Source organism: Homo sapiens, chromosome 15 (genome assembly GCF_000001405.40).
Source record: "Homo sapiens chromosome 15, GRCh38.p14 Primary Assembly".
Taxonomy (NCBI): domain Eukaryota; kingdom Metazoa; phylum Chordata; class Mammalia; order Primates; family Hominidae; genus Homo; species Homo sapiens.
In genome coordinates this window covers 50,046,440-50,069,715 of record NC_000015.10, presented here as the reverse complement: position 1 = coordinate 50,069,715, position 23,276 = coordinate 50,046,440, and the positions used below count along the sequence as shown (strand labels likewise).

General features: G+C 38.6%; 1 protein-coding gene across 37 annotated transcripts in view, besides 1 other annotated feature; it reads left to right on the top strand.

Moving 5' to 3' along the window:
• ATP8B4 (ATPase phospholipid transporting 8B4 (putative)) overlaps positions 1-23,276 on the top strand; it is a 323,617-nt gene that overhangs the window by 112,139 nt on the left and 188,202 nt on the right. For 28 of the 37 annotated variants that reach the window (NR_073597.2, NR_073596.2, NR_073598.2 and 25 more), the window contains one exon: positions 22,252-22,365. The exons of the other annotated variants lie outside the window; for them this stretch is intronic. Coding sequence is in view for 24 of the 28 variants with exons in the window: in XM_011522056.4 (XP_011520358.3) it covers positions 22,252-22,365 (114 nt within the window). In the remaining 4 variants the exon portion in view is untranslated. The remainder of the gene's footprint in view (positions 1-22,251; positions 22,366-23,276) is intronic. 37 annotated transcript variants of the gene reach the window in all.
• Positions 11,150-11,444: a silencer, noted in NCBI's record as "tiled region #7155; HepG2 Repressive non-DNase unmatched - State 24:Quies". NCBI's record gives its function as "represses a minimal TATA promoter and a strong SV40 promoter by Sharpr-MPRA in HepG2 cells {active_cell/tissue: HepG2}" and the evidence as "EXISTENCE:reporter gene assay evidence [ECO:0000049][PMID:27701403]".

Below are 23,276 nucleotides of genomic sequence, written 5' to 3'. Positions count from 1 at the left end.
AAAATACAAATAAAACAAAAAAACAATCAACCAACCAAACAACAACAACAAAACAAACCCTAATCACTTTGCCTTTCCTCATATAACCACTGGTAAAGTTCTTATATTCTAAAGACAAAAGTAGATAAAGGAGATACACAATTTTACAATCTGAGGCTAAGAGTGGCCTTAAATATTACCCTGGGCTTTTATAGGTAAGAATTTAGGAGAAAAATTTACAGATAGCTCTGATAAATTGTGTGATTTCCAGAAACATTATGCCCGATCAGACAAACTTTTTTCCTGGAAGGCTGGCAGAAGATACTTCAATACCTCGAGAACCTTCATTTATCAACAAACTCTAAAGCTGCAAATCACATTATAGGACATCGCACAGGTTTAAAAATGATCAAAAGCACTTTTGAGAAATAAAGGTTTAGAACATAAAAGATAAGGTTAATGATTCTAAGTCAAATTAGTTTGTAAATTAGACATGATATTGTGAGAACTGGAAGGTAAAAACGTCAAATTACAAGAGGGATTTAGACTGCCAAAATGTGTAAGACAAAATGGGATTGAAGAGTGGAGGGAAAGTGAGCCAAGTGCTAGAAGAATTATTCTCATTAGAAGGGAGTTCAATGTTTTCTTGGTTAATAATAGGAATGAATAATAGAAGTAGAAAACAGTTGTTTTAAAATATGTTAATGTTAATAATTGTTAAAAGAAAAATTGTGAGTGAGCCAAACAGCCAGACTCATTCCTGTTAAAAGGATTTCAGAGTGAATGGTAGAAGTGGTGAAAACAGTTGAAGTTGTATTAAAATGTATTAATGTTAAAAGATCAGAAAAAGTGTTAGCTTAATTATAGCTATTTTCTGATTTTGTTTAAAAGTTCAAAAAGATGATGATGGAAAGCACTGGTTCTCGTTGGTTCTTCTTCTCTCACTCTCTGTCACATAGGCCCAGGCATGATCTATCCCCATTCAATTCTCTTGAACTTTAACAGAATTTGAGAAGGGAGATTAACTTATTTGAGTGATGAGAAACTTACCCTGCCTCAAACTCAGAAACTTCAGTAAAGCCAAAACACTTAATAAATTTTATCTGAATATATTTAATGCACAAAGGTAGGTAGGCAGTTTTTAAAGGATTTTTTTCCTGAGTGGAGTTATTGATCCCATTTAGGAAGTGCATAGGCTTATGTAAATTGATGAAGATTTAACCAGTAGTTTTACATGCTTAGAAAGAAAGAGTCCCACCTAAAAATTATGATTCTAATGCTGTAGTTTATTCCTAGAATCTGCAAATGCCTTGTTGATATCCTAGTTATTGGATGAAATCTATTTGCTGCTCCCATGATTTTTTGTGGTTGGTAAAACAATGCCCATTTGGATTTTCCAAAGTGTTCATTCAGTGCAACAATGTGGTTGAGTACCTCCAACCCCCAGCAGTCAGTGCTACAATCACACCACTAAGGCTCCCTGCAACATGAACTCCTTTTATTTCCCTCCCGCCCATTTAAATAGGACTTTGTACGTTTCCACAGTCAGCAAACTTCTCTCTCCTCTTAACTCAGAATCTAAGTGGTTGAGAGTAGAGTAGAAAAATATGGTTCACCATCATTCTCAGTGTGTGAGCCGAGATGGTCACTGGGCCTCTTTAGGCCCACATCATAATAATGTATCTGTGTTTCTCTGAGAAAAGACTGGCTTAACAGGAAAATTTCATGTTCCTGTGTGTGGGGTGCATAGACCATTCATTGTCCCCTTTTCTTTAATAGAAATAAAAATAATTTTCAGAATTTAATATTCACAACATACCTGCTCTATACCTAGCAACATGTATGTTTGTTGCCTTTTCCTCATTTATTTTCCAAACAGTATTTGCGGCAATGTACAAAAAGCATATAAAGCTCAAAGGGATAACAATACATGAAGAAGCTAGTGTAGGCAGAATATGTTTAGGTGGGCCCCAAAGTGCATGCTACAGGACGTGCCTGCTTAGACTAGCAGTGTGTTGAGTGCTACTGGAGCTATTAAGAAAGGGGGTACAAATTCTGCTTTCTACCTTCAAGGAGCAGATATAGTCTACTCAGGAAGAGAAGCCCAGCACACTAGAATGAAACTAATAATAGGTAAGAATGAAAAGGTGCTGTGAAATTCTAATTTTGTGATGTGGCCTGTAAATGCTAGGGAAAGGAGAGCTCAAAGTACACGAAAGTGTTTGAGGAAGTTTTGCCAGAGGAAGTGGGAAATGATTCCTGCCTTGTTTATTTGTACCACCACTGTTAGCAAGGAGAGACAGGAGCAAAAGCCTGTAGTCAGACCTTAGACTACAGGCTAAGAGAAGTGACAGTATGTCATGAGGAATTATGGTTTGGGTAGGTGAGAACAGACTATTTAAAAAGAGAGTTTAAACATGAGGTAATTGGCTGTCAGGAGCTGGGGAATCACAAAGTGAAAAGGGATTTTATTTGCCCTCCATATAAAATAGGCCAAATCCCCAAACGGAAATGGCCAGGTTAACACAGAACGTAAGTTGGGTGTGGTGGGAGCTGTAGATTTAGGAATATCGGCTGGAAGGAGAAACTTTGAGCTAGGAGAGAAGTGAGGCTTGTTAAGCAGTGATGGAACTTGCTAAATGTGAGGTATGGGGTGGAAACTCAGTTTGTTAGAGAGTGGGAGGGAAAGAACTTAAGAAGGAACAGAGGACAGCAAGGATTGAAGTGAACGAAGAGAGGACAGTGTAGGAAAGTGTTAAGGAAGGGAACGTCTCAGGAAAGAGGGAGTGGTGAACTGGTCTAATGGTAGGTGCCTATGAGGTTAAGAACTAAGGGAAAACATCTTTAATAGAAGGAAGTAACTGGAGGACCTGAAGAAAGCCGTTTTAATTTTTTAAGAAAGTTGAGGTTTAAAAGTCGGAGGGCAGAAAAAAACCCCACAAACTGTAAAAAAAAGAAAGAGGGGGTGGGGTAGAGCTAATTCAATTAATAGCTTGCAATAAAGAGAAGAGAAACAGTATAAAAGCTTTCAGGCTGACTGAAATTTGGTCAACCATTTTTAAATCAATCTTTTCACATATTTTGGCTTTTTAAGTATGTGTTTAAAATCCATGGAAAGGTAAAACTCCGTAAATATTTTCTTTGGGAGACTCTTGGGATGTCACCATGTTGAAACACATCCCCGGACTGATGGGACATTTGGGTCTCTATTCTTCTTGAGCAGCATAGCTGTACTGCCCACATGATGCAGATCCTCACCTATGGGGCTGATGACCAGATGCACCAACTAAAGAGTACAGATGATGACAAGCAGTGTGACACGTTGGAATTAGTCATGGAAAGCACCAGTAACTTGCATTTGTTATGGGTTTCTGGTTGTTAGTTGTTGCTTTTTTGTATTGGGGCATCACCATAGTAACAGTGGCTTTTTAGCAAACATTGAAAATGGCTTCTGTTTTGTGTGCTGTTAATATCTGTGTATGTTATTCTAAGTTTGACATGGCAAAGGTTTTAATTTTTTTCTTTATAAATAATTTACTTGTAGGAGAAAATATATTTTTTGGATATCTCTCAAATTCATTTTCTTTCTGGATTCAAGAGTATAAAAACATAAATATTTTTTATCTTTTTGACATCTGATTTGTTTAAATAGTGTTATTCTTTGGCTAAGCATTCGTCTGGTTTCTTGTTTCCCTAATTTAGTTTGCCTGTTTTAATCTTTTTTTTTTTTTTTCTGGCCTCTGAATTTCTATTCCTAAATGTTCTAAAATGGCATATTAAAGTAATTAAAGAATCTAGGTAAGTTCTCTGAGGTATTTGTTTGTTATTTACCTGTTCCAGGCTTGAGATAATTTCAGCATCCTCATAAACTAGTTCCCATTCCATCTGCTTTGAGAAGTAAATTTTAAGTTAAAAAAACAGATTTGGCTTATTTATTTATTTTTATTTTTACTTTCTTCACTGCAATGGTACAAAACTGAAAAGTATGCAAGCAATATGTAATTGGAATTACAAGAGTTAAAATAAGCAATTTTTGATGGCAGAATTTTGCTCTGTTATAGCTTGGCTGTAATGGAATAAATTTAAGATTGAGAAATGAAAAGATTACATAGAAAGAAGAGTAAGTTACTTGTGAAGAAGGAACTATAAATGGAGTTTCCTTTGTTGGCAAATGGTTCATGAAAATAATCCATAAATCAACTGTGTGGATGAAATTGGGCAAGTTTAGTAACAATTGAGAGGTTAACGGAAAAAAACCACTAACCCCAACGGTCTCAAAGTGGTTTTTATCTTGTTTTGCAATCTTCTTTACTGGACCAAATGGTCTGGTTCTGGGAATCTTATTGTTAAAAGATGGTAACAATCATGTTTTACATTTTGTTGTTGAAAGATCAAATCATTTATGTACCAAGGTGATCTTAACTTCATGTCCACTATTATGAAACTAGTACCAGATTACTGTCACATTTTACACCTGATTTTCTATGTAGTTTCTTTTTTTTGACAAATAAAAATTGTATATATTTATAGTACACAACATAATGTTTTGAAATATGTATAAATTACAAAATGGCTAAATCGACCTGATTTACATATGCCTTATCTCACATAACTTATCATTTTTTTATGATGAGAACACTTAAAATCTACTCTCATAGCAATTATCAAATGATATGATTTGGATCTGTGTTCCCACCAAATCTCATGTCGAATTGTCATCGCTAGTGTTGGAGGTGGGGCATAGTAGAAGGTGACTGGATTATGAGGGTGAAGTTCTTATGAGTGGGTTAGCACCATCCCCTCGGTGTTGTTCTCATGATAGTGACAGTGAGTTATCCTGAGATCTGGTTGTTTAAAAGTGTGTAGCACCTCCTCCCTCTCCCTTTTGCTCCTGCTTCAACCGTGTAAGATGTGCCTGCTTCCCCTTTGCCTTCTGCCATGATTGCAAGTTTCTTAAGGCTTCCTCAGAAGCAGAAGCCTCTATGCTTTGTGTACAGCCTGCAGAACCATGAGCTAATTAAACCTCTTGTCTTTATAAATTACCAGTCTCAGGTATTTTGTTATAGTAGCATGAGAATAGACTAATACATCAAGTATACAATTTGCAGGTTTATTACAAAAGTAAGCTACTTAGGCATTAAACTTGAAAATTCTTTAAAAATGATCCAAGACTTGGGCTATATATTTGTCAATAAATCTGTGTCTATTGCATGACTGTGTGCACGGAGGTAGTGTTGTAGTTGTGAGGAAGTGTATACAGTTTTGTAAGGATGTTTTTGCTTGAATAATGAGAGACTGTTCTCAGAGGAATTAAGCAGAGGACAGCAATCAGAGTCACATGCCAAGACTGTTGATCTAAATCTCTAGCTCCTGATACCCTTGACTTGGTGTCTCTAGCAGTCCTGATTGTACTGGGTTTTATGTGTCCTCCTTGGTTGTCAGTTCACATCATTACAGATGTGGCTGTTCAGGTGTCATCTAGGTAAGTTATAGATGGTGACATCATTGTGTACCAATTGTCCAAAAGTTTAGGGAAGAAGGGCTTTTTTTATACAAAAGGAAAAACCTGATTTCTTAGGTACTGCAAGGAAATTAGCTTCAGTACAATACACTGTGGAATCTCAGTGTGGAATTATCCTTTAAAGCTTTTCCATTCAACTCTCTTTACAGAATTCTAACCAACTCCATGTCCTGTCTGTGCTTTTATCCCTTTAGAAGAGGGGACCTCATTACCTCCCCAAACAGCCTTTTCTTTCTTTGGGTAGTTTTAATCATTAGGTAATTTTTCCATCAATTGAGCCAAATTGATATTCTCTTGCTTTATTTTCCATTGTTTTAGCTTTTCTTCAGAGACCAAAGCAGAGCAAACATGTCTTCTGTTTCATGCAACAACACTTCAGATATTTGTGTTTAAAATATCAAACACAAATTCATCAAATAAACAGATCTCCAGGAAAATCACCTGCTATTCCTTTTCTTTTCAAAGAGCCTCAGTTTTTCTATAACTTCTTCAAGTGGGTTCCTCCAAAGTCAAACACAATAGTCTAGAATTTATTTGACCATCTTGAAGTAGAGAAAGATTATTAATACAGTCTAAGACTGTACTATCTTTTCAGTGACTGTTGAGTCTATTAATCTCATATTAATTTTATTTTTATTGTTAATGACAAGAACCGTGTCACATTTATCTCCATATCTTGCTTGTCATAGGGCTTGTTGGCACATAATAGGCACTTACTCTGTCATTAAACTATTCCTTTTATTATTGTATCTATGTGGACTTTAGCATCTCTCTGTATTGTCATTGATAGTTAAACAAATGGGCCAATGAAATCAGAAGCTTTAGGGGTGGAGTCCAGGCATTTTTTTTTTTAAAGCTCCCCTAGTGATTCTAATGGGCAACCTGGATTAATCACTGATCTAAGTTAATAATAAAAATACTGAGCACAACACAATGAAGAACATGGCCATGCGTCTTATCACTAGAGACCTCCCTATAGGTTGCTGTTGGGCCATTAATCATTACATTTTGTTTACTTAGCTAGTTCCAATTTCTATAATGAACTGTCTTTGCTGGCAGCCCAATTTTTGTTTAATTATGTAGTAATATTGCTCTCTGTCTTAATAAGCAGAAAGGCTTTTTTTTTTTTTAAAGACATCTATTATAGTGCTGGTTTAGATTATTTCTACATGTATGGAAGCAGAAGGATAGAATGAATAACTGAACTTTGAAGATTCCTCCCCAAGTCATATTCCTATGATTCTTGCAAACCACTTAGTACCATGTGTGATATTTCAAAGACTCTTGTAGATTCAATACCACAAAAACGCCATTGTCCTAAGAAAGACGATTTTGAGGTTAGAAGCACAAATGAGCTGAACTTCTTTGCAATGCTTTGCAGAAAAAGAAATGCTTTTCTAGGTGAGAAAATGAGCTAAAGGAATATTTGATTTTTTTTCTCCCTTGTACTCTGATATGAGAAAATTAATAAACTGCATGTTGTGCTAAATAATGTGAAAAATCTATATTTGTGCTAATGCCTATCTTTCTCTGGCAAAAGAAGTTCTATAGGTTATGTACTGAAAATTATTGTGATGCATCATTAATTATGAAAAATTATATTAGCTCATGTTATTTTCTCATAAGTGGAATTGTCTTCCTCTCATATATTATTTTGTATTTTTTCCAATTGGGTTTATCAGCCATGTTGTCTTGGACTGTTCTTGCATTGCCATAAAGAAGTACCTGAGACTGGGTAATTTATAAGAAAAGAGGATTAATTGGCTCAGTTCTACAAGGCTGTACAGGAAGCATAGCAGCATCTGCTTCTGGGGAGGCTTCAGGAAGCCTCCAAACATAGTAGAAGGTGAAGGGGGACCAGGCACATCACATGGTGAAAGCAGGAGCAAGAGAGTGAGTGGGAAGGTGACATACACTTCTAAATGACAAGATCTCACTAGAACTCACTATTGTAAGGACAGTACCAAGGGGGATGGTGATAAGCCATCCCTTAGAAACTGCCCTCATGATCCAATCACCTCCCACTAGGCCCCACCTCCAACACTGGAGATTACATTTCAATATGAGACTTGGGTGGGGACACACATCCAAACTATATCACACGTATTGAGTAATTCTTGCTTATCACTTTGTTAAATGCTCTAGACACTTAAAAACGTATAAGGTCTCAGCCCTTCAGGAACTCTTGGAATTTTGAGATTATTTCACATGCATAAATGAAATAACAGTATTAGACATTACAAAGTTAAGTATGAAAATGAATAGTGTTAGCTTATAATAAACATTTTCACTGTATCTGAGTAAGGAAGATAATTTTCTAGGAAGAGATAAATGCATTTCTTTTCTTAAAGTTGTTCATATTGGTAATGTCTTTCAAAGAGAATGAAAGAATGGTAAAATACCATGTTTCATTTATGTAGTGTAAAAATGACCTGACTTGGCTTGAAAACTTCCCAACTTGCACTATACTTTGAATCCCTGTCTGGATTTGGGGAACCATTTGGCTACTCAAAAAGCCAAGTGCCAGTCACATGTTAAGTAGATCTAAACCTAAACTGACTGAAGATGATGAGCTCACTGAAAAGTACTTCCAGGGTATACTGGAATTGAATGCTTTAAATATGAAAAGCAGTTAATTTTTTTTGTTTCTTTAATTCAAATGTGAGTTTTATATAGGCTTATTAAAATCAATCAGATATTTTGACATTGGAATAGTTATGAATTTATGTTTTATCAACAAATAGTTATTACTAAATTCCTGAAACCGTTCAGGGCCTATATGCTATTGCCTGTGGAAATGATGCCTGTGTACTTTGGGATGTACATTTTTTAAAAATAAGAATATCTTTGATCCCTATTCCTTTTCCTCAGCCTGTTATGCTCCTTCTTGCTTCCACATTCCTGTGGAATTTCCTCCATGATTCCTTTATTTTCCAATTTGATGCTTGATCTGATCTTTTTATTTGCCAGAGCTTAAATTGAAAGTGGAGGGAAAAAAATCTGATTTTTCACTGATTTTTTTTTTATCCAATATACTTCTCTTAAAGGATTGAAAACGAAGTCCAGAAAAATATCTTCAGCTGAGTCAAAAGGGCACATTGTACTTCTAGCCTAAATCTCGGAGTAAGGCATTTCAGTGTTTCATCTGTGACATTGATTCAACTCCACGACCTACTGGGGGAATCCAGTACCTCCTAAAGTTCATAGTCTCTAGTGCACAAATGGGACTCCCTTGGATTTGTACTAATTTAACTTATATCAACTTTTGAAAAAGCTGCATGCAACCTTTCCTATATCACAGCAATTTGTGCCTATCAAAACTCTTAGAGCTCTTTAATACTCTGCTTCTTGAAGTGTGGTCCACAGACAGACCAGCATCATTGGCCTCACCTGGAGCTTGTTAGAAATGCAGACTCTCGGGCCCCACCACAAAACTCCAGGTGTATCACTGCATTTTAACAAAAACCGAAATGATTCATATACATATTTGAGTTTCAGAAGTTCTGAACTGATTCTCTCTTATTTTAGTTAGTAGTGCCTGGAAGATTTTGGCAAAAGCAAAGAGGTGGTGGTGGGGGCGGGGCGGGGAAAGTATTTAATTGTCAAGCACAATGCTAAGCACTTTACATGTATTATCTCATTTAATCTTCACAACAACTCTGCATGGCAGGTATTCCCATGCAAATTTACATGGGGGAAATGAAGGATTGGAGGAATTAAGAGAAAGGTCACTTAGTTGATAAAACATGGAATCACTTTTCAGATTCAGGACTCTAAGCCCTCACTTTTTTCTAAATATCTCTTGGGAAAATTGCACTCACTCAAGTATTATTTAATTGGATTGTTGTTTCGTTGTGGTGAATATGAGTAGATTTTTTGGGAAAAATGTCTTCAAGAAGTTCTTGAAGCTTTCCTGAAACCAGGTTTGTGAGGAAGGTCTTTGTTCTTAACCTGCGTGTATTAAGTTTAAGGCTTGAGGTGATCTGTCTTGTCACATAAGTAGTTCCCTTCAGTACGGCATGTCTGCCTGCCCTCCTTCCTTCCTAGTGGCAGCTTTTCTTTAGTTCTGGAATCAGAAAATTTCCTAGAAACCCAGGGGACGCTGTGGGTCATGGCTCTGGCTCGGCCGAGGCAAGTGCCTTTTAGCCTTTCTGGGTTTCAGTTTCCTTACTGAGGGTATAGGCAACTCATTTTACAGTACTGGAAATGACAATTGTGGGAAGAGAATATCTAAAGCAGGCTTGACATCTTGTGGAGTTATATACCAAGAAATATTAACCATTTGGGGAAAACCAGTTTCTAAAAAAGGGCTCAGGCCACAGACCCCTAGGTTTTGCCTCCTCCAGCCCTTCAAGTCCCTTGTCTCATTGATAGCACCCCTGGTCACCCTCAGAGGGAGGGATACTGGGCACAGTTGTCTATTCCTCTGACAAGCCTCCTGATTTTGTTCCTCCAAACCCTCTGACTTCTCTGGCTTCTTCCTCCTGAATAACTGACACACTTGCATAAGTGTCTGGATGAACTTTGTTTTCTAACCCTTATGCCAGATGGAGTGAATCGGGAAAAGGAACATGGATGAGGAATGCACTAGGGAAGAGGATTATGAAGGCAGTGAAATGAGATGGTGGAGGAGGTTCAGGAACTGCAGCCAGAGCCCTTGATTCATTCATTCATTTGTTCATTCATTCATTCATTCAAGGAACAGGGGAAAGGATCTAGTTTGCTTTATTTCACAGTTTTGTACGTTAACAGTTATTCCTAGCTGGCCTTCCTAGTGATGCTCTGGTGGATCATTAACTATTAAACAACTAAGTCACACTGTTATTTGACCTGAAGCCTGGTACTTAGAATTGTTCCCGTAGAAGTGGCTCAGTTGCAAATCAGTTCAGTGACTTAGAGGATCTGGCCTAGTGAGTTTTGATTGGAGACTCGCTGTGCATCTTCTCACCGTGCAGCTCTTGCTCTGCTCAGCATCCACATGGGCTTCTTATTGAATCTCCTTGTTGGCTCCTACAGAAGGCAAATGCCTATTTTTGTATATGTAATCAGGGAACTCCATTGTCAGTCCCCCAAAGCAAATTTATGATAGTCTTTATTTAACTCAGACTATCTCAAGCATAACCTCAAATTTGGTGAAAATTCCTCAAACCCGTTGTGCATGATATAATCACAAAAATTAAAGATTGGCACTTTATTCATAAATTATTATTGATGTGTTTTAATGATAGAAGATGCTTTAAAACTCTTTTTTTTTTCCCTGCCCTCCCCTACCTGCCCCATGTGGAGAATTTTCCTTCTGTATTTCCTGGTCTTCTATTCTCTCCCTCTCAACACCTCTACTCCCAAACAAAAGCCACTCAACAAAAAAAAAACCACAAAGCCAGGTGTTGTGGGTTTGTTTGAATATAGATTTACTCCCCAACCTGGCTGTGAAGGGGCTGGAGACCAGGAAAGGCTAGGACTGTTGCAGGAGAACACCTTCATGAGTGGATCAGGGTCCCAGTTGCTCCAGTACCCCCTGGGCATGGCAGAGGGTGCTGACAACTGCATGTACTTTCCATCTGATCCTTAGAGGTTCAGGAGAAAATTGCATGGCTACCCCTGAGGTGGTGTTATTTATGTAGAACTCTAGTATAAGAAGTAGAGTGCTAGGAAGGATTAGACTGTGTATCGTGTGCTATTATAACTCTTTGGCCCTTTGGAAAATTCTTTATGGGTGCCTTTCCACGTTAACTGGACTTTTCCATTGTGTCTTTCTTATTGTTGTAAACACTGAGGTCTTGAAATTTGGCCTAGTTCCCAGACTACACAGCAGTGTGAACATGGTCTAATTTTCAGACCAAATAAACAAAGCAGTCCATCTGCACTAAGTTGTCCAAAGTTGTAGTTCAGGAAATGGGCTTGAACAAGCCAGCCCCCACCTCAACTCAAAGAAATGCCCACTCTGATCATACAAGATCCCTAAAGCTCAGGATAAGACGAATTCGTGGGCCAAAGCTGAGGGCTGACTCCCTAGATCCCCAGTTGATTTAAAAGGAGGAGGCATAGATGAGCTCTAGCCAGCAGAGATAGGAGGCAAACAGATCATTAGGGATGCCCCAGGAAAGTCCCACTGAAATACAATCTTTGCTTTCTTTTCTTTTGCTCTTTTGTATGCCTTCTTCTTATCTCTCTGGAGAAGGCATATGCTAGGTCTTTTTCTCTCTCTCTCTCTTTCTGTCTGTATTTTCAGTCCCTTTTTAGATGTCACAAAAAGAAAGTAAACATTTTACTGCAACTACTTAAAATGTTATATACGTCTAAACACCCTGGAGAAAAAAAAATTAGTGTGATTAAATTAATCTCAGAGGGAAATTTAATTTGTTCCCCTGATAATTATCCAAAATTAGTTCTTTGTAGATAAATTACTATTCCTAGGCCATTTACTAGCTCTAGAACTGTCTTTCAGACACTGGAACCCTAAATTAAGGCTGGAAGGTAGAAAAGAGAACAAAGTTTGTGATGCTGTCAGGCAGATTTGCTTTGTGGGGAGACAGAGGCCTGAAAGCTTTCCTGGCCACTATCTCTGTTCCTGGGGTCTAGATGGAAAATGAGCTCCCTAGACAAGCCCAGCAATGTTCTCCCTAGATTGAAAGGACTGGAAGTGACTGCTCCAGCTGATTGAATTAATGTGAGCTCTTCACTGTGCTTTAGTTTAGAGAGGTTCTGTTCTTCACCAGAGTGAAGGATGTCGGATGAGGGCCAGTGAGTCCATTAACCAAAAGGCAGTCTAGAGACTTCCTAGTTTCTGACTCGTTGCTCACGAAACACCATTTGGGAGAACACAGGATTGTACAATACTTGCTTTTATGGGCAACCCTCACAACTGTTCAAAGCCTCAGTTTCCTCATCTGTAAAATGGTGCTGAAATAGTCACAGCTCATTGGATTTTTTAAGGACTGCCTGAGATGATATAGTGTTCAGCATAGCGCCTGGAGATGGAAGGAGGCAATACCATTATCTGGTGTCACTGTATGACCCAGAGAATCTATGACATAGAAAGTTATATGTTCTCCATTATGTGCCCAAGTCTTAGTGACATGAGATCTAAAAGGAGGAGGCACAGATGAGCTCCTTTGTCCATAAGTGTTTAGTCCACAGTTTTCAAAGTTTATGAGCATGTTCCTCACTTGTAAAAGAAAATTAAATCTGACCGAATGTGGTGGCTCATACCTGTAATCCCAGTTCTGTGAGAGGCCGAGGTGGGAGGATCACCTGAGGCCAGGAGTTCGAGATCAGCCTGGGCAACATAGCGAGACTCTGTCTCAATAAAAAATAAAAAAATAAAAAGAAATTAATCTATATGTGTGTATACATATAGACAATGCATAGATTGTCTTTACTGTTAATATTTATATGTGTGTATACACATATATGCATGTGTGTACTATATGTTTTTACTATAGATAATATAGATATTATATTGTCTTTGCTATAGGTGTGTGTGTGTGTGTGTGTGTATATATATATATATACACATATACATATACATATATTGTGTATAGTAATTAAATGTTAGTAACTTTAACATTTTTAGTTAAAATATACATGAAGTTCTTTTTTATTTCTCATAGCCCAAAGGATTCTTTTGGGCACCCAGGAAACGAGCACCCCTAGGGGACACGTATTCCCACTGGTCTCACCAAGTAGGGTAATCTTGATACTGCATTAACCTGGAAAATCAAGCAAGAAGGCTTCCTGAGGGAGTCTTGGCAGGCAAGGTGCTCTTGCTCTATTGTTCATTGTTTTTGTCATAGTATTTGATGATCACCTCCTGAAATTGTGTCATCAGTTTACAAGTTTATTGTCTGCTTGTTCCTGCCTCTCTCTCCACAACTAACATACAAACTTACTCGATGATGGGAGGGTCTTTGCTTACTCATGTCTGTAGCCCTGGCTCAATAACATTATTGCCTGAAGCACAGAAGGACTTTAACAAAAATTAGTTGAATGAATGAATGAATGAATGTTGGGGGATATGTGCCCTCTGCTCTTTGCCTCCTCATACACGTTTTCTGCTCAAGTCTGGGAGCTGAGGCTCAGGAGAACGTTAAGATGATGGTGGTGGTGGTGGTGGTGATGATGAGTGTAGTCAGTATTGATTGACACACTCTGCAAAGCCTCTTCTGTGATTGAGGCTTCCTCAGCAGCGTTCGTAGAAGAGCACTGTCGTCTTTCCATTGCCCCTATCCTGGAAAGCTGTGGACTCTGCACCAGGCAACAGTCAGCTGATACTGAGGAACTACCAGGGGTTCTTCCTGGTATCAGTGAGGTACCAGATGTCTAATCTCCAGGTCCCATACATGCATTCTTTTGGGTTCTTTGCATGAACATGGGTAATTCACATATTTTCTGAGCGGTACAAATGCCTTTTGGCTACTTCCTCTTTTATGCCAGTAGTTTGTGGACACAATCCCTTTTTGTTTTTTATTTTATGGCTTAGAGATAATCTCTCCCTTATTAGTCAGGATTATTTCTGTCTCTGGAATCTGGATTGTACCATAAAAATACTGTATTTGCCTCCTTTTGTGGCAAGAAGGGCTAGATGTTTTCCCCCTCAAGCTCTGGAAGGTTACTTTTTATAGTTGTCATGATGTACAAATGTTTCATCAAATGTGGGATGATGATTTGATAGTGAGGAAACTGTGGTACTGATTGCAAAAGCTCCTGGGGCTTGTGGGATTCATAGACGTAGGCAGTGTCTCTGGACAACTGCTGAGCTCATTTGGGTTTAAGCCTTCTGGGATGCATTCTTTAAGACAAACATAGAGATACAAGTAAGCTATTATTTAAAAAGCAAACTGATCTTGCATATATTATGAATGTTCTTACCTGGTGTTTGGTTGGTTGAGAGTAAAAGAAAAACCAACTCAAATTGACTTAGTTTGAGTTGAATGGACAGATCATGTAGCTGAAAAGTCCAGAGATAGGGCTAGTCTCAGGAGAGGCTTGGTCTAGTTTCTTTCTCTGCATTTCTTGGCCCTGCATTTTTAGTGCGGAGTTTGTTCTTGGCAGCCTCCCCACTCATAGCCCCAAGTTGCTGTTAGTAATCTCTAGGGCTACTTGTTTCCAGATTGGAATGCAATAGAAAAGAGAAAGCTTACATTATCAGCAAATTTCAGAATTGACGTAGTTTATGTGCCAGTGTCTGAATTCAAAATTGTAATTAGGAGGGTGGGCCATGTACTTGCCTTAAGCTAATTTGACCCTGGAATTATGGATGGGAGATGAATCTATCCAGTTCGTGAAACTAAGGAATTTGGCACATTGTTTAGCTGATGGGGAGAGGAAATAGTCAAAGGAATATTACATGTGTCGTTAACAGGACTGAATTTAAAGTGCTGAGGTTGGTGTTTTTTTTTTTTTGTTTTTTTTTTTTTTTTTTTTTTTTTTGAGGCGGAGTCTCCCTCTGTCGCCCAGGCTGGAGTGCAGTGGCACGATCTCGGCTCACTGCAAGCTCAGCCTCCTGGGTTCATGCTATTCTCCTGCCTCAGCCTCCCAAGTAGCTGGGACTACAGGCACCTGCCACCACACACGGCCAATTTTTTTGTATTTTTAGTAGAGATGGGGTTTCACCATGTTAGCCAGGCTGATCTCGATCTCCTGACCTTGTGATCCGCCTGCCTCAGCCTCCCAAAGTGCTGGGATTACCGGCGTGAGCCACCGTGCCCAGCCAGTTGGTTTTTGATATATTTGCTAGTAGATATGTCTCTTACTCTCAAAATACTAGGTTAGCGTCCATTACTGGTTGCAATAGCCATTAGTGATATCCATTAATGTTTCTAGCTTTCTGTCTTTTGGACCCATGGTGACTCTTTTGGCCAGTAAGTTGTGAGCATTTGGGTTGAAGCATTACATTTGAGAGTGAGACTGTTCAGAGCTTCTTTTTCCTCTGGTAATATACCTCGAAGCATTGGAGATGGTGGGTGCTCCGTTATGAGTATCTGATGAGGAGACTCATGTTGGGCAAGTAGCATGAACAAGAAACAAACTCTTACTGGGTTAAGCTGTGAAGATTTTGGAGTTATTACTGTAGCATAGCTGGTTATCCTGACTAGTACATTGCATTTCTTGATACAGTTGAATTATTTGGGATCACTCACAAAAATCCTATATTTGCATAATTCTTTCAATTTAGCAGAAATATTTTTACATCTATGCTCTCATTTCCATGATAGTCCTATAAATATATGAGAAATGTTATTAGTTCCATTTTGCCAGTGGAAAAATTGAGGCAATCTCCCAAATGCTCCAAATGTTTGCTAATATAGCAGAGTTTGTTATTTTCTATTTGCTTTGTTTACTTAAGCAATATACTTAATTTGCATGTATAATGAGGATCTCTAGAAAAAATAATACTTCCCATTTTATTAATATTTTATTTGGTAGCCCATCTCTGAAAAATTTGTCATTTTTACTCCATTTTCTTTACTTTATTCCCCACCTTCACCCCACCCCCCCACCAAGTAGTAAATGCTGGAAATATAAAGGACTTTGGCCACTGTGCTTCTGTTGAAAGCTAAAGTAAGGGAGTGGTTATGTCTACTATTTGTCTGCATTGAGCTTTGTTAGGGGCCAAGAGAATCATTCTTGAGGGGAACTGAAAGAGAATCCAAGGAAACTGTAAGCATACATCAGGCAGTAGAACGAGGGCTCTGCCTGAAGGGCTTGACTAGAGAGGAGAAGGTAAATAAACTGAATTTCCTTTGGTAAGAAAGTGGCAGCAGGCTTGAAATGCAGACTGGAAGAGAGAGCAAGGGCAGATTACTCTGAAAGCAGAAGAGATAACTGCTTTGCAATGAATTGGGGCAGCACAGTGGTGAAGAGGGTGGGCTCTGGAGCAGAATGTCTATTGCTAGATCCAAATCCTGGCTCTTACAATCACCACTTACAAGCTGTGTCAACTCGTGTAAGTTAGTAAGTTACTTAATCTCTCTGAACCTTGGATTTCCCTTCTACAGAAAGGAAATAATAGTACCTATTTCATAAGAATGTTGTGGGATAAGATGAGCTGTAAAATGTAAAACTCTTAGTACACATAGTAAGAGCTTGATAAATGTCAGTAATTATTACCATTCATGGTCGTTCCTTCTGTCCCCACCCTGATCCAAGCTGTGCATCATCTTTCACCTGGACTAATGCAAAGACCTCCTCATCGCTCTTTTCATATCTATTCTTGTGTTACCACTGATTTGTTTTCCACCTAGCTAGGGTGATATTTTAAAATAAAAATCTCAAGTTACTTCTTTGCTTAAGATGTTTCAGTAATTCCCCCTTCACTTAGGATTTTAGTCTTTATTAGTCTTTATAATAAAGACTCTTTTGGTCTTGATAATAAGGACGACTAAAATTCTTAGTATGTATTCTGAGGAACTACTCCATCTAGTCTGTGCTGATCTCTGCAGTCCAGCCTCATAGGCCCTCTTCTAGATCCCCAAGTGTGCCACCTTTTGCCTACCTAAGGGCCTTTGCGTTAAAATATTTTAGAGAAGCAATGACATTGCCTTCCAGGTGGAGGGTTCTCTACTGGTGTGACACTCTCTCCCAACTCCATTACTACTCTGCCACATGTGAGATGAAGTCATTGACCCGATGGGCCAATCTTGGAGGAATAATGGGCCTCAGCTCATCTTTGCCCTTCTCCCTCTTGGAAGCACATTTTCCACAGGGAACATGTGCTTCCTCACATTCATTTACGGGGAGGCACTTTCCCACTATGTGGGACCCTGCCCTGGTCTGGCATCACCTGTGACTGTGAGCCCAAGCCTACCTCATCATGGAATCTGTTAACCATTCCTCCTCACTAACAAGCTAATGCCGTGGCCTCTAGTTTGGCTTTTATCAGCACCAAAGAGGCTCCGTGGAGTCTACTCCTTTTCTTCTGGATTGGGATGTTTGTAGTCATTCATGGTGGGAAAGTACTTCTGAGAGGATAGTGGTGAAGATCTTTCTGTGCCTTATTATGGAATGAACTGTACTCAGATTGGACTGTAGGCCTATAGCCTATGAAATGACTAAATATTAATGTGCCTGATTTAAGGTCTTACCAATGCAGTACTCATATGCTTGGACAGGGCAGTGGAAATGGAAATGTGTTTTGCTTTTGGTTGAAAAACAAAGAAAAGTAGACTGGCCCAGAGATTTTCCAGGAGGGGGAGCCCTTGTTCCTTGTTCCCATTCAAAGCTGTGAGGGTTTTCATCATCTGTGACTAAGTTACAACAGAACGAGTAGAACAAACACAATCATTGCTATATGTCATGCTAAGCAAATAGGAGAAAATTGTCATAGTTTCTGTTTGGCATTATTTATCCCACAGAATTAGCTCTTTACCTATATGGAACTCAGTTTTGTAGGAGAGTGTCTTTATAATTCCTGCCGTGGTTTTGACAGTTATAGACATTGCATATGTCCTTTTTGCAAGATGCTAGGCTAACCTCTATTTTAGCTTTAAGTTAGAAGGAAAATATAAAACAGAATTAGGAATGTGAGCTCCTTATTTAACTGTATTTTCTCCTTAGCTTTAATCTTCCCCATTCTTTTCTCCAAATCCTTTCTTTAGAAAAACATGTGATTGACAGTACCAACACCCTATTTTGCAGTGTGTTAACTTCTTGAGTAGTTAACATACTGCAATATCATCATTATTAGCTTTCAGAACGGTTTTCAGTACATTAATGTGCATCAGACCAACTAAGCTGGAAACTCTTCTCTTGACATCTCTTCTTATTTTCCCAGAACTTGTAGCACAAAACTGGACACCTTGATTCCTGACAAATGTTGTATTAGTCCGTTTTCATGCTGCTAATAAAGACATACCTGAGACTGGGTAACTTATAAAGAAAAGAGGTTTAATTAATTCACAGTTCAGCATGGCTGGGGAGGCCTAAGGAATCTTAGAGTCATGATGGAAGGGGAAGCAAACACGTCCTTCTTCACATGGAGGCAACAAGGAGAAGTGCTGAGCAAAAGAAGGGAAAGCCCCTTATAAAATGGTCAGATCTTGTGAAAACTCACTCACTATCATGAGCATAGCAGCATCAGGGTAACCACTCTAATGATTCAGTTATCTCCCATCGGGTCCCTCCTACGACATGTGAGGATTATGGGAACTACAATTCAAGATGAGATTTGGGTAGGGACACAGCCCAACCATATCAAATGTTAAAAATGGTCATTTAACAGATGACTGGACTCTAAAAAAACAGATAGGAGTGATGGCTAGGAGCCAGTGTAGGTTCACCTAAAACAAGTTACCCCAAACTAACCTCATTTAAAAAATATTATTCTGGGCATATTGATTCTGAATTTCAGTAATATCTGTCACCCCAAATTTCTCATGTTATCTTTGTGGATAGGATAGAATTAAGCCTCAAATAATATAGTTACATGGCTTTACAAGTGGTTAAATAAAACATATTTAATATGTTTTATATAAAACATATTAAACCTGAAAAAATTGTTAACATTAATTTGTAGAGAGGTCTCTAGTAGTTTGCCATAGCTTTATTGGTTTAATTAAAATTTCTTTTGGTGCATTTAGCCTGTTTTTTTTTTAATGTATATTTGTCTACAGCTTTGGAAGAACATATAAAAGGCATGTGTTTGAAATTTTCTGATGACACAAAGCTGGGAGGAATATTTAATGCTTTAGATAGTATACTCAAGATTAAATATTTTTTCATTAGGCTGGTGTAATAGGAAATATGAAAGATGTATACATAAATATTTTAAAAACCAACTATAAATGTATAGAAAGGGAAAGATGATTTAATAGTGATTTATGTAGAAATGATCTAGGAATTTTTGTTGATCAAAACTTAATATGAAGATATAGTGAGACACAATTGCCAGAATGCCAATGAAATCTTTGGACATGTCAGTACAATAGTTCAGAACACAGGACATCAAAGTCCTTACTATACATAGACTTGTTGAGCTAGATCTGCAGTTGTGTTTGGTTCTAGGCATCATGTTTTAAGAGAGATGCAGAGAAGCTGGGATGGACCCAAAAGAGCCTCACTGGGAAGAAATGTCTGTAAAATAAATCATAGAGAATGGTTGAAAGGTTTGGGAATGTCTGAGTCAGAATAAATATTTATGGGAGTCCTATGAGTGGTTCTCAAGTATTTGAAGGTTATCAACATAGAAAGGCCTTAGACTTGGTCTAGGTGACCCCAGGCATGGAATTTGCTATGTGGCAAGAAGACACTTCTCAAAAGAAGACATACATGTGACCAACAAATATATGAAAAAATGCTAAATACCACTAATCATTAAAGAAAGGCAAATCAAAACCACAATGAGATGCCATCTCACACCAGTCAGAATGGCCATTATTAAAAAGTAAAAAAAGAAAAAAAAATAACAGATGTTGAGGTTGCAGAGAAAAAGGAATGCTTATACACTGTTGGTAGGAGTGTAAATAAGTTCAGCCATTGTGGAAAACAGTGTGGCAATTCCTCAAAGAACCTAAAACAGAACTAGTATTTGACCCAGCAATCCAATTACTGGGTATACACCCAATGGAAAATAAATCGTTCTACCATAAAGACACATGCACTTGTATGTTCATTACGGCACTATTTACAATAGCAAAGACATGGAGTCAACCTAGATGCCCATCAATGGTGGACTGGATAAAGAAAAATGTGGTACATATACACCATGGAATACCACACAGGCATAAAAAAAGAATGAAACATGTCCTTTGCAGCAGCATGGGTGAAGCTGGAGGCCATTATCTGAAGTGAATTAACACAGGATCATAAAACCAAAGACTGCAAGTTCTCACTTATGAGTGGGGGCTAAACAATGAGTACTCATGGACATATACAGCAGCAATAGACATTGGGGATTACTAGAGTGAGGAGAGTGAAAGGGTGGGGTAAGGGTTGAAAAACTACCTATTGGATACTATGCTTGTTACTAGGGAGAGTGGATGTCCCAGCTCTTGTCTAACTTGGAAGAAAGATTTCAACCAAGAGACAGTACAAAGATAGCAAAAAATTTTATTGAAAAGAAATATATTGTAAAGAGCTTATTGTAGGAAAAATGGGTACACCCCAAAGGAGGAGTGGGATGATCCTGTGCGAAAACAGTTCCAAAGGTTCTGCACAGGGAGCTTTATCATGCTGGACTTTTTCTGCAAATTACTGCCCCTGTCTCAAGTCTCCACCTTTCTCCTTTGCCTAGTTTTTCCCGCTCCTGCCTTAACTCCTCACCTAGGCTTGTGGGACCCTCCCTTACTGTTGGTTAATGTGCATGTGTGGGCTGGTGATCAGTACAAATCCTGTCTGATGGTGGCCCTGCTCATTGCTGCCACCCCAGAAAGGTTGTATAGTGGTCAAATCTATACCTGTTGGGCCTACATATCTCTTTGGAATTTCCTTGTGTGTCCTAATCTGTACTTGTGGTGCCAGGTTTCTCTTGGTAATGTCCCCTTTGCCCATCTTTTTTCCTTTTTTTTTTTTGGCAGAGTCTTGCTCCATCACCCAGGCTGGAGTGCAGTGGTGCAATTCCGGCTCACTGCGACCTCCGCTTCCTGGGTTCAAGCGATTCTCCTGCCTCAGCCTCCTCAGTAGCTGGGATTACAGGCGTGCACCACCATGCCTGGCTAATTTTTGTATTTGTAGTAGAGAGGGGGTTTCATCTTGTTGGCCAGGCTGGTCTCGAACTCCTGACCTCAAGTGATCCACCTACCTCTGCCTCCCAAAATGCTGGGATTATAGGCGTGAGCCACTGTGCTTGGCCCCCTTTGCCCTTCTTATTAGCATGTAGCTAACGACATTCTGACATTTTAACTGCAGAGTGAATGATTATTGGGGTGTCTTAAGAGGCATTCCGCGGTGTTTCTTTCTGTGTGGCTACCTTCTCGCTCTCCTACCCACATATGACTAAGTGCCCCCCGACAAGCATTAGAAATGGCATTAATATGCAAATTTTGGGTGGTCCCTCAGGTGTGAGCCTTCCCAGAGGTTTCCTTTCCCAGGAGCTCCCCTCCTGTTAATGTCTAGCTCTCCACCCACTCTAACATGCTCTTTACCTGACGACAGGATCATTCATACACCAAACCTCAGTGACATGTAGTTCTCTCATGTGACAAGCCTGCACACATGCTCCTGAACCTAAAATAAAAGTAGAAAAAAATAGTTATTAAAAAAAAAGAAGTTATAGGGAGGCAGATTTGGGTTCCTCATAATAAGGACCATTCCAGCAATTCCCGTTCTGAAATGGGGACGGGCTGCCTTGCGAGGCAGTCAGTTTCCCATCCCAGGAGATCTTCTAAGACAGACCTAGGAGCCCCTTGTCGGAGGTATCTAAAAGGGTCATGCTTTGGGAAGGTGGACCAGATGATTTCTGAAGTTCCCTCCTGCCTTGCGGGCTCCAACAGGAACTCAATACTGCATACAGTAGGTACTCAAGCAATGACTGCCAAATAGTTGAGTGCTTAAGTCAGAAATCTCAGGGGTAGACTTTTGCATTTGATACATATTTAGTTACAGGTGAGTTTATGGCATGGACCAGTAATTTCATCTAGTATCAGGAGCATATCATCTTGGGAAAAATGAAGGCCTTGAGCCACACAGAGTTGAAATTTCCTAGATAACCGGCTTATCTTTCTTACTCTGGCTCAGGCTTGTAGGTTTTAGAGCTATTTCTGATCATGAGCAATGCCTTGCCCCAAACTAACATGATGCTATTTCTTTTCCAGGATAATCGTATCCACACATCGAAATATAATATTCTCACCTTCTTGCCAATTAATTTATTTGAACAGTTCCAAAGAGTGGCAAATGCCTATTTTCTTTGCCTTCTGATTTTACAGGTAATATTTAGGTTGTATTTCTCTATTATCTGTTTGTTTAAAGTATTCATAAAATTGTAAAAAGTAAGTCAATTTACTTAGCTAAATGTTCGTGATTAGGTACAATCATCCTTTATCAGATTTTTAATCTTGTTGTTGCTGTTTCTTTTCACAAACGTGGGAGAGGTAGGAATGGTTAAAAAGTAGTACATTCATCATTTTAAACACTGAGGTCACTTTAAAACACAGCCTTGCACTTTATTTGAACCAAACCAGAGCCTAATAATTACTGTTCACAGCCTCCCTCCTTTCTTTATCTCCCTTTCACATCTACAGTGTGGGGATTGCCAGAGTTGAGGCAGAATCTTAGGTGACTAAGACTGAGTAGGTTGCAGAGCTTAATTCTGCACATTTCATTTTCATTTAAGAACAGTGACATATTTTTAATATATATAAAGTGATGATGCTATATGTTATTTCACTGTAGGTGACTACTTTTACAGTTTTGAATGGTTAATTGGTATTTAGTAACCTTTGCTTTTTCTCCTAACTAAAATTTGCCTTTAAATGAAATTTCAGCTTTTATGGATATTTTGGGAAGGAAAAACATATGAATCAAGGAAGCTACATATATACTGTACACATACATACTATACACACACATAAATAGTTCATGTTAGCCAGTTATTTACCTAGTATTTATGTTAGCATACTTTAAGCAGATCAAACTGGTAGGTCAAGAATGGCTAAGAAGTAAGAAGATGGATTAGATTAATAGATTTGAGTACTGTTTTCTCTTTAATTGAATATCTATTTAAGAATATGTTTCAAGTGACAGAAATCTTAATTAGTTTGAGCAAAAGATAAATTATTCATGGGTATCTCATTTCAGGTATTACTGGATTCATGGGCACAATTTCATCAGGATGTGG